The sequence below is a fragment of the Homo sapiens genome, chromosome 5 (genome assembly GCF_000001405.40).
Source record: "Homo sapiens chromosome 5, GRCh38.p14 Primary Assembly".
NCBI lineage: Eukaryota > Metazoa > Chordata > Mammalia > Primates > Hominidae > Homo > Homo sapiens.
Window position 1 is genome coordinate 79,715,658 of NC_000005.10, and position 12,813 is coordinate 79,728,470.

The 12,813-nt window shown below is 37.9% G+C and overlaps 1 protein-coding gene across 3 annotated transcripts in view; it reads left to right on the forward strand.

Annotated features, from left to right (window-relative positions):
- The window catches only part of CMYA5 (cardiomyopathy associated 5), a 110,387-nt gene that overhangs the window by 25,822 nt on the left and 71,752 nt on the right, over positions 1 to 12,813 (forward strand). The gene's annotated exons all lie outside the window — the stretch shown is intronic.

A 12,813-nucleotide genomic window follows, 5' to 3' on the forward strand; every position in this document is an offset into this window, starting at 1 on the left:
GGTTTCCTTACTCCTGTTAGCAGATGGTAACAGAAGCAGCTGTAGAGCTGGCAGGGCCTGAAGCTAAAGTAACCTGAGGCATTTCCTTTAAGAATACCAACTTTTATCTTTTTTGCATAATCTGGTTCAAATTGTCAACCCTATTTTTCCAACTCATAGACATTTTTGCAGTAGATATAATATGACTTATCACTCACTGGTAATATACCTCTAAAACTGTTCTGTGCTGCTTACAGAGCATTGTGTCAACCACTATAGTTCTGGAGTGCTTAAAGCTTATGCAAATACAGATGTGCACATGCTGTGTGCTTCTGAGGGAGATCTGTATGGGATCGTGGCATCGCTGAGTTCTAACTGATGGATTTCTCTTGGTCTGATTAGGTCCATAGGTCAGTTTGTGGTGGATACTCACAAGCACGTAGATTATCTATTATATCTGTTCTTACTATCAAGTGGTGTCCTTTAGTTCCTACCAGCTAATAGATGGTATGTGTGGCCATTTATTTGTATTAGGATTTGACTAGTAGAATTACTCTCTTTTCTTTGATGAAGTTCTGAAACAATTGATAGATAAAGGAATGGTAGCTAGAGATGAAAATATCAACTTCATCATTTATAGAGCTGATATCAGAGAATGTGGCTTAGATACAGGACAACAATGTGATTTCTACTACTGAATCTCCTGAATCTCAGAAATAGACAGATTTATATACCCAGTCACAGGCTGTGAAGAACCACAGCCTCTCTTCATATACTTCATAGCACAAGGAATATTTAATGTTGGTGCAAAAGTAATTGCGGCTTTTGCCACAGTAGAATGGGGAAGAGTGATAAAGAGAAGCTAGGCCAGCATTGTTTTACTAATAGATGTCCTTCTACTTGAGAAGAAACATCTGAGATGAGAAGTTAGTGTCTCAACTAACAAGTAAATTACTATCATGCATTTTAAGAAATTTTAACAAGCTAAAAGATATGAATCTTTACATCACATAGTTTACTCCTACACTCTTGTATAGATGACACAGGAAAATGTTGACAAACAACAACTAAAACTAAGCTGGGAGAACACTGATTGTGTCTAGTGACGCTGTTGTACAGGTGAGGGCTTAGGTAAGCACTCAGTTTGTTTTACGGTGGAGCTACTTTCAGTAGCAACATCCGTATACATCCTAGATTTCAGATGATTAAAATAAGGCAACGTTAATTTATATTTATATCACAAATCTATAGTGCAGACCAAATTGATTAATTTGAAGTGAACTTTTAAGACCTTTTAAAAATTTGCACCATATGGTAATCTTGCTGTAAAAGACCACACCTAACATAGTGCCTACCTAGTACATAATTTGAGCTCATTACATACTTGTTGAGTGAATAAATCTTGACTTAAAACAGATGATGCCCCAGGCAAGCAAACCACTCCTGTTAGCAGGCTGCTCTCAAATAACCATACTCACTCTTTTGAGTTGTATTTTTACTAAGGATCAGTTGTGATTGTTCCAGGACCTTTTTATACTAGTTATACTTGTTATTGCTGTAACATGATTTAATTAAATATTGCTTAAGCTGATGAAATATGAGTACAAAAGTAAAAGAGCTGTTGTTCCTCTGAAAACAAAGGTGAATGCTTTAGAAAGACTTTATAAGGAGAGCCACCAAAAGAAACACTAAGGGACATTGATTCCTGCTTACAGAAAGTTTACAGTCTTATAAAGGAGCTAAGATATACATACAAATAACTTGAATGTAGGATGAACAGGAGAATATTACATTAAGATTCCAGAAGTTCAGAGGCAGAAATTTACTTTTGGCTTGCAGCATCATTGATGGATACATGGAGAAGTTGATATATGAGCTGGTCTCTAAAATAAATAAGAGATAAAATATACAAAGATGATTCATTCTAAGTGAAAAGAAAGATATCAGCAAAGGCATGAAGAGTGAAGCCTATGTTTGGCTGGATTATAGAGTTAATGAATGGGAAGATAACCAGGTTTCAAATAGTAGAGGGCCCTAACTTCCAGGCTTCTAAAGTACCTGATCATTGTGATAACAGGATCCTTATTCTTTCCATCCACAATGATGTTGAATGGCCTTTAGTATATCTACAAAATGAACACTTTCTATTACGGCATAATTATGCTGTGTAACAATTTATTCATTCATGGTTTCATGAAATTTTTTCTTAACTCCCTAATGGCATAAAAGTTCCTTTTAACCTAAGCTATTTTTTTTTTTTTTTTTTTTTTGAGACGGAGTCTCGCTCTGTCGCCCAGGCTGGAGTGCAGTGGCGGGATCTCGGCTCACTGCAAGCTCCGCCTCCCGGGTTCACGCCATTCTCCTGCCTCAGCCTCCCAAGTAGCTAGGACTACAGGCACCCGCCACTACGCCCGGCTATTTTTTGTAGTTTTAGTAGAGACGGGGTTTCACCGTTTTAGCCGGGATGGTCTCGATCTCCTGACCTCGTGATCCGCCCGCCTCGGCCTCCCAAAGTGCTGGGATTACAGGTGTGAGCCACCGCACCCGGCCAGCTATTTTATATTATAGTTTGCTGAACTGTTATTCAGCAATGCATATTTTTTTCAGCTAAACACATTAATATTAAATTAATTCTTGGTGAAATATTAATTGTAGAGTTAATGATTGCTTTTAAGAATTCCATTTTTTAAAAGACTCATATAAAACACTAACAGTTTGTATTAAAAGATCACAAGCTTTCTTGGTGTTTTATGGCTTAAAATATATCTTTCAAAGCTTGTAATATAAGCAGGATCATAGGTGACTTTCCCATTTTAATAACAATTGATATTTAATGCATTCTAAAAGACTTCATGAGAAAGATATCCGACCTATTACATTCTTTTGTTTTATATACTTCCCGTTAGTGCACTGTGATTGCTTGAGAGAATAAAGCATCATGCAAATCTAAGGTATTTTTCATAATTATATTCCTATAAAGAACTTTAATGTTACTTTAACTGCTGATCAGAGGAAGGAACTACAAGTTCCTAGAATACAAATCTTGAGCTCAGTAGAAACAAAGTATAATAATATAATCATGCTGCATAATGACATTTTGGTTAATGACAGACTGCATATACAACAGTGGTCCCATAAGATTATAATGCCATATTTTACTTAGTTTTTCTGTGTTTAGCTGTACAAATACTCACCATTGCATTACAGCTGCTTACAGTATTCAGTACAGTAACATGCTGTATAGGGTTGTAGCCTAGGAGCAATAGGCTATACCATATAGTCTCTCTGTAATAGACTCTACCATCTAGGTTTGTGTAAGTACACTCTATGATGTTCACACAATGATGAAACTGCCTAATGATGCATTTCTCAGAATGTATCCCTGTTGTTAAGTGACACGTGTTATACAAACTTAACCTTCAGATAAAAATAGAGAACCCATTTCACTTCTTCAGAAGTGTAGGGGTTTTTTTAAGGAAAGAATGAGAGAATCAATTCAAAACAAAGATATTGATGAAGAAATGTGGGAAACTATTATTTTGGTAGCTCCTCTATGATGGCTACCCATTTCCCTCTTTAAAAGTTCAATTTGTACATATATGTTACCTCCCTCATATTTTTTCACTTATAAAATGAGAAATATTATAAAACCACAAGGCTCTTTCCACTCATGATTCTAATAACTTAATTTTCAATAAGTTACTGGTTTCTGAGCTAAGATGAAATAGGTGTGCCTAGGAAGGTTGATCACAGCCTAAACAGGAAACAGGAATTTTTGGCATGGTCATCATATTCCAGAACCTGATCCTTCATTTTGAAATATCAGATGTTATATTTTTTAGCACATTTAATGAAATTCATTTTTTGAGAGCTGGTTTATACTAATACAACTCACAAAAAACACATTTAGAAAAATATGTCCATTTAACAGTTGGAGATAAGAAGATCACCAGCAAATGTATTAAAGCTCCATTCATAAATTATCTCATTTCCTTCCTACCGTGCAAAGGGACATGAACACACAATGAAAATATAAATTAGAGTTTATCAGGGAAAATTCAGAAATGGAGAAGTAGTAGATCACACACAATCCTATAAGCTCTCATCTCACAAAGAGTAATGCTTGCTCAGGGCATAGCTGGACTACTATGGGAAGGGAAGGGCTTATGTAGAAGAATGATGCTTATGTGATGCTTAACTTATTTATAGGGATGGCGGATATGGAAATAAAAGACAAAATGGAACTTTGTCAGAGAACTGAAAGCAATGAAAAGAATGGAAATTCGAAAACTGAAAAATACAATAATAAAAAATGACACATTTGATTAGTAAACAGTTTAGACACAGTTGAATACAGAATTAGTATGCTGGTTGATGAATTGGAAGAAACATCCAAATGAAGCACACACAGGATACAGTGAAATGTTTCAATTTGTGAAAAACTGGGATCTCAGATGACAAGAGAGGCAATGAGGCAGAAGCAATATTTGAACAGAGTATGGCTGAGGATTTCTCAAAAATGCTGAGGGACATTAATCTACAGATTCCAGAAACCATGCAAACTCCAAGCAGGATAAGATGTCTAAGAATATGATAGTAACTTCTGAAAACTGAAGACAACCACCAAATCACAAAAACAGCTGTAGGGAGGTAGTGGGGGAAAAAAGTCCAAATCATCTTCAAAAAAGTGACAGTTACACTGACAGCCAACTTATCAATACAAACAATGGAAGACAGAAGACAATGGAATGATATTTTTCAAGTGCTAAGATAAAAATAACTGCCAATCTAATTTTTTTTTTTTTTTTTTTTTTTTTGAGAAGGAGTTTTGCTCTTGTTGCCCAGGCTGGAGTGCAGTGGCACAATCTCAACTCACTGCAACCTCCCCCTCCCAGGTTCAGGCAATTCTCCTGCCTCAGCTTCCCAGGTAGCTGGGATTACAGGCATGCACCACCATGCCCAGCTAATTTTGTATTTTTACTAGAGACAGGGTTTCTCCATGTTGGTAAGGCTGGTCTTGAACTCCTGACCTCAAGTGATCTGCTGGCCTCGGCCTCCCAAAGTGCTGGGATTACAGGCGTGAGCCACCATGCCTGGCCCAATCTAGAATTTTATATCCTGAAAAAATATTCTTCAAGAATGAAAATGTAAAAAGACTTTTAATGAAAAAAGTAGGAAGAGCTTGTCCCCAGAAGATTCACACCAGAGGAAATACTAAAGGGAGGAGGAAAATGGTTCCAGATGGAATCTTAGAGATACAGGAAGGAATGAAGCACAATAAAAAGGTTCTGTATCTAAGTAAATCTAAATAAATATTGACAATAAAAATAATTATATCTCACGTGGCTTAACATTTAGATTGAAAATACATAAGGACGTGTAAGTTGAAGTTAAAGGATTCATGGTCTTTGTGTTGTCTGGGAATAGGTAAAAATATCAATTTATATTAGACATTAATGAGTCAAAGATGTATGTTGTAATTTCCAGGGTAATCACTAAAATAATAGTCAAGTAGAATGTAGCTAACAAGCTAATAGAAAAGGAAATGGAATAATAAAAAAATTCAATCCAAAATAAGGCAAGGCTGAGTGTGGTGGCTCACTTTGTGAAGCTAAGGTGAGAGAATTGCTTGAGTGTGAGAGTTTGAGACCAGCCTGGGCAACATATTGAGACCCCCATGTCTATTTTTAAAAAATAAAAAAACAAAATAAGGCAAGATAGGAGAGAAAAAGGAATATAGAATAGGTAGGACAAATAGAAAATAAATAATAAGATGGCAAATTTAACTCCAAACATATTGGCAATTATATTACATTTAAATGAACTAAATGCTCTATTTAAAAGTTAGAGAGCTCTATTTAAATGGTCAGAATGGATTTTTTAAAAACTATATGCTGCTTATAAGCAACATATCTAAAGTATAAAGATATAGGAAGGTTCCAAGTAAAAATGCAAAAAGATATTTCATGCAAATGATATATATGGATGGATAATGCAAACATTAACCAAAAGATAGCTGGCATAATGCTATTAATATCAAAGCAAAGCTTTAATAGTATCAAACTAGACTCTAGAAAAAAATCTTTATTTACAGATAAAAGGGACATTTCACTATTATTAAAAGTTAAAATTTCCAGAAAGATATAACTATTCTAAATCTATTACCTATTAACATAGATTCAAAATGTTTAAGTCAAATATTTACAGAACCATAAGGAGAGACAAATCCACAATTGTGTTAGAAAATGTTAACACATTTCTCAGTGTTAGAACAGGCAGACAAAAAAATATTACTAAGGCTAAAAAAGATCTGAATAACACAATAAATAAGCCTGACTTGGTTAACATATATAGAACACTGTTGAAAAACTGCAGAACATATGTTCTTTTCATGAACCCATAAACATTTTTCTTAAAATGGCCATATAGCCATGAAGTTTCAACAAATTTTGAAGTATAACTTCATACAAAATAAATTCTCTGATCACAATGCAATTAAACTAGAAAGTAAACAAAAAGATAACTAGGAAATCCTCATGTATTTTGAAATTGCAAAATACATTTTCAAATAATCTATGGGCCATATATGAAATCACAAAGGAAATTTTAAAACATTTTGAGATTAATAACTTTTAAAATGCTATATATCAACCTTTAGGTTATACATCTAAATTTGTGCTTAAAGAGAAGCACATGTCTTGACTTCACATGTTAGAAAAAGGGACAGTTTGAAAATTAATGACATAAGAATCTATCTTGGCTATGTGCAGTGGCTCATGCATGTAATCCCAGCACTTTGGGAGACTGAGCTGGGCAGATCACTTGGGGTCAGGAGTTCGAGACCAGCCTGGCCAACATGATGAAACACCATGTCTACTAAAAATACAAAAAATTGGCTGGCATGGCGGCGCATGCCTGTAATCCCAGCTACTTTGGGAGGCTGAGGTGAAAGAATTGCTTGACCCAGGAGGCGAAGGTTGCAGGGAGCCAAGATTGTGCCCCTGCACTCCAGCCTGGGTGACAGAGTGAGACTCTGTCTCAAAAAAAAAAAAAAAAAAAAAATCTATCTGAAAAAGATAGTATAAATATTAAATAAAAAATCGAGATGACACAACCAGTATCAAGAATGACAAAAAAATGAGTAAAATTTTAGGTCTTGTGTACATTTAAAAGATCCTAAATGGATATTATGAACAACTTTAATTCAATGATTTCTAAACATTTAGATGAAATAGATAAATTCTTAGAAAAGTACAAAATAAAAACTAAAAACAAAAAGAAATTCTGAAGTCATATAACTATTAAATATTAAATTGCTAACTAAAAACCTTACCACGAAAAGGACTCCAGGTCCAGACTGCTTCACTAAGTCTACCAAACACTTAAGGGAGAAATAATGTAATATTTTACACACTCTTCCAGAGGAGAATAAAGGAGGGAACAATTCCCAGTTTGTTCTATGAGGCATCATAATCTTGCTACAAAAACCTGACAAACACATTATAGAAAAGGAAATTACATAGGCCGGGTGCAGTGGCTCACGCCTGTAATCCTAGCACTTTGAGAGGCCGAGGTGGGTGCATCATGAGGTCAGGAGTTTGAGACCAGCCTGGCCAACATGGTGAAACCTCATCTCTACTAAAAATACAAAAATTAGCCGGGAGCAGTGGCAGGCACCTGTAATCCCAGCTACTCGGGAGGCTGAGGCAGGAGAATCGCTTGAACTCTGGAGGCAGAGATTGCAGTGAGCCAAGAAAACACCACTGCACTTCAGCCTGGGTGACAGAGTGAGACTCCATCTCAAAGGAAAAAAAAAAAAAAAAGAAAAGAAAAGGAGATTACAGGCTGGCCATGGTGGCTCACACCTGTAATCCTATCACTTTGGGAGGCCAAGGCAGGAGGATGGCTTAAGGCCAAGAGTTTGAGAACAACCTGGTGACATGTCAAGACTCCTGTCTCTACAAAAAATTAAAATATTAACCAAGTGTGATGGGGCACACCTATACTTGCAGGTACGTGGGATGCTGAGGAGAGAGGATTGCTTGAGTCTAGGAGTTTGAGGTATCAGTGAGCTATGATCGTGCCACTGCACTCCAGCCTGGGTGACAGAGCGAGTCCCTGTCTCAAAAACAAAACAATGAAAAAAAAAAAAGAAAAGAAAAGGAGATTACAGGGTAATATCACTCATTAACATGGGAGAAAAATTTCTAAACATAGTATTAGCAAACAAGAAAATCTTGCATTATATAAAAGTATAATGTATCACAGCCATGTTGAGTTCAGTTCAGGAGTTCAAGATTGGTTTGTTATTTGGATATCAATCACTGTAATTTATCACATTAACAGGATAGAAAAGAAAATATGATCATTTCCATAGTTTCATAAAAAATTTTTTAATCGGCCGGGTGTGGTACCCCAGGCCTGTAATCCCAGCACTTTGGGAGGCCGAGGTGGGTGGACCACCTGAGGTCAGGAGTTTGGGACCAGCCTGACCAACATGGTGATACCCCATCTCTGCTAAAAAAAAAAAATACAAAATTAGCCAGGCGTGGTGGTGCCCGCCTGTAATCCCATCTACTTGGGAGGCTGAGGCAGGAGAATTGCTTGAACCCGGGAGGCGGAGGTTGCAGTGAGCCGAGATCGCACCATAAACTCCAGCCTGGGCAAGAAGAGCGAAACTCCATCCCCCACCCAAAAAATTGTTTAATAAAACTTAACATTCATCATTTTAAAAAACTGCCTTAGCAAATAGGAATAGAAGGAAACTTCCTTCATCAGATGAGGGTTATCCTCCAAATGAAAGGGGAGCCTTTGACATCTCTGGTATCAGTCTGTTTGCTTGATCTAACTCAGATCAGCTGAACCTTCTTGCTCAACGCTGAAAGTGTGGAGGAAGTGAGCTTCCCAAGACATTATTTGTCTCACTACACTCCTATAGATAAATCTATGTGGGATGTTAACTGATAATCAGAAGGTTGCTTTGTGAGAATGCAGTCAGAGGGGAATGGATGAGATGATTTTCATAGCCAATATCTTTTAACTATGAAAAGCTGATATTTACATAGATGGGAACACTGAATGGTATGGTGACCATTTCTCTTCTGTTAATACATTGTTTCTTTAGACTGAGTGTAATACTGCCATGGCTTTACACATGCTAATACTGTATAATCATTCTCTAGTTCCTGTTGGCTCTGTCATTCAACTTTGGATCTCTCAGTGAGCCAGACTGTTTATTCATGCTACATTTTTTATATCCTATGACCTTTTCTTGGAATGACCTCCCCATCCTTACACCATCTCCTATCTTCATTCACTTAGCAAACTCCTATTTCTTCTTCTACAAACCAACTCAAGTATTTTCCCTCTGAAGTTTTCCCTTCTGTATGTTCTAATTGTATCTTGCCTATCTTCTGTAATAGTACTTATCACACTGTATTAAAATGTTCTTAACATTCAACTCAGCAATTCCATTGCTGGGTATAGACCCAAAGGAAAATAAATCATTCTACCAAAAAGGCATGTACACTTATGTTCATTGCAGCACTTCACAATAGCAAAGACATGGAATCAACCTAAGTGCCCATCAACGGTGGATTGGATAAAGAAAATATGGTACATATACACCATGGAATACTATGCAGCCATAAATAAGAATTAAATCATGTCCTTTGCAGCAATATGAATGCAGCTGGAGGCCATCGTCCTAAGCAAATGAATGCAGAAACAGAAAACTAAATATCACATGTTCTCACTTATAAGTGGGAGCTAAATTTTGGGTACACATGGACATAAAGATGGGCACAATAGACACTGGGGACTACAAAAGTGGGGAGGAGGGAGGGGTAAGAGCTAAAAAACACACTGGGTACTATGTTCACTATTTGGGTGATGGGATTAATAGAAGCCCCAAACTCAGCATCAAACAGTATACCCATGTAACAAATGTGCACATGTTCCCCCTGGATCTAAAATAAAAATGGAAGCAGAGTGCGGTGGCTCACGCCTGTAGTCCCAGCACTTTGGAAGGCCGAGGTGGGCAGATCACTTGAGGCCAGAAGTTCGAGGCCAGCCTCATCAACATGGTGAAATCTCGTCTCTACTGAAAATACAAAAAATTAGCCGGGCGTTATGACACGCACCTGTAATCCCAGCTACTTCCGAGGCTGAGGCAGGGGAATCACTTAAACCCAGGAGGCAGAGGTTGCAGTGAGCCAAGACTGCAACCCTGCACTCCAGCCTGGGCAACAGAGCAAGACTCTGTCTCATAAAATAAAATAATAAATTTTAAAAACTGGAAATTAAAAAAGAATGTTTGGTTGTCTCTCCATATTAGATTTTGAATTTCTTAGAAGAAGGTTCTAAGTGCTTTATATTTGTACTCCTAGTATTTGAACTCAATGAAAGTTTATTAAGTTTATTAAGTAAAGAAATACATGAATGAATGAAAATGAGTAAGCAACGATTGAGTGAGTGAATCAGTAGGGCTCTCCTGTCTTGTGACCACCACGTGTGTTCTCTCCTCAGCACTCATGAACTCATTCTAGCTGGTAATGAAAACTTCTCTGGTTGGGCACATAGAATTTACAATCAATAGTTAACTCTAAATTGAACTTATAATTGAATTTTATAATGCTTCTACATTCATGGGCATTCAAAATGCTGACTTCCCAGATGCATGTCATAACCTTAATTTTTAATTTCATCCTATTTCTAAGTGACATGGAAGAGAGAAGATGTAGGATGAGTTGAAAGTTTTGTGGAATAGCTTTAATTAGGTATGTAAAAGAGCCTGAAAAAACAGTTTAAAATAAGATTCTGTTCAGGACCAAGATACAGTATTAATTCCTAATTAAGTTCAGCAGTTTAATACCCAAGCAAATGAGTGAGAGCAGAGTTGCGGGGAAGTGGAGAGACTACTTCTTCCCGACCCTTCACTCATGGCATGTATAGAAAATGATATAATTTATAGCACACTAGGGTGAATGGATCTGGCTGCTTGCTATTGCAGGCTAGTGGCCCAAGGGGCCTGGCTGCCCCAGGCTCCCCATGGCTGTGCTGAGAACTAAGGAGACCAGGATCTCAGGACAGCCATAACCCCTTTGCAGTAGACTGCTGGGGAAACTCTGAAGCTTAATAAGGGAAGTTGAGTGCACCTGCAAGGACTTATGGTCCTGGTCCCCACCCAACCTAACAAACCAGGAAGGGTTTGCAGTGAGAAAGAAAGATATGTGCTATTTAAGTGTCAGAGCTAGGATTGTTTAGGCCAGTGATTTTTTTTTTTTTTTTTTTTTTTGAGACGGAGTTTCACTGTTGTCACCCAGGCTGGAGTGCAGTGGCGTGATCTCAGCTCACTGCAACCTCCGCCTCCTGGGTTCAAGAGATTCTCCTGCCTCAGCCTCCTGAGTAGCTGGGATTACAGGCACCCACCACCACACCCAGCTAATTTTTGTATTTTTCGTAGAGATGGGGTTTTACAATGTTGGCCAGGCTGGTCTCAAACTCCTGACCTCAGGTGATCCACCCGCCTCGGCCTCCCAAAGTGCTGGGATTACAGGCGTGAGCCACTGTGCCTGGCCAGGCCAGTGATTCTGAATACATATTGTAGTCGCCTGGCAGCTTTTAAAATCTAAAAACATAGCAATGTGAAGACCAGACCCTCGTACAATTAAATCAGAATCTCTGTGGAGAAGGGTATGGGGCAGTATTAGTATTTTTAAAAAAGTTTCCACAGGTGGTTTTTATAATGTCTCAGAGTTAAGGACCTCTGATATATGCAGAGACTGATGATAAAAACAGTTTACGAAGGGACATAAATCTAACTGTAGATTTTTTTTCAATTGTCTTAATTTAACACTTATGTTTCGTGTTTTTAACAGAAGGTTTTTTGTTTTTATTGTTGTAGACAGATGTAAGCCAGTCAGTAGCTGGGCTTCATCTTGCATATTCCTAGGAGGAAATATGTTTATGAAGTGATGGCAAACGCGGCTGCTGCATTGGTCAGGAATGATAACCGCAGAGGAATTTAAACCCAGCCTTAAGGAGTAGGTAGAATTTACAGTTGCAGAAGTGGAGTATTGTCGGGGCTCTGCATTCTAAATGGAGGAACAGCGTAAGTACAAGTGAGGAAGAGGTAGAAGACAATTTCAGAGAAGAGCGCTACAGAGTCTAAGATGGGGGCCCAATAGCAAATGAAGGAGCGGCCAAAGCCAGCCATCTCGGAAGGGATGAGAGACCAGTCCACGGACACAGCCTTTCCACACTTCTGTATCCTGTAGCAGCTGCAAGTGATCATGCCCAGGCGCCTTTCATCATGTGTCATCAGGAAGGCCTGACTACAGATAACATTTATTGAGTGAGCACTAACTACATGCCAGGAATATTCCCTAAGCATTTCGCATGAGTTAACTAATTTAATCTTCTCAACAAGCTCACGAGATAGGTTCTATTATTATCCCTGTTTTATAGATGAGGAAAGTGAAGCACAGTAGGTTGACATTTTTTGTGACCTCTCTCTATTCAATGACCTGTTTTCTCTTTATCATGACTCAGAGTTCCCAAGATCTATTTGCCGAACAGTGAATTATTGTTAAAACAGGAATTTACCTGTAGGGGTAGGGTGCAGGTACACACTTGGAAAGAATGTCAGATAGGGATTAGAGAGCTAAGGATTTTGAACATCTTTTTTTTTTTTTTCTTCTGTGGATATGAAGAATTTGCTGAGATTTTAAAGCAGGGGGTGGCATACTGAGCTGGTTAGTAAAGCCAGTCTGGGAGGATGCGGCACAGTGGGTTAAGAGTGGGGGAAAATGAGGTACCTGTGATACCAGCTGA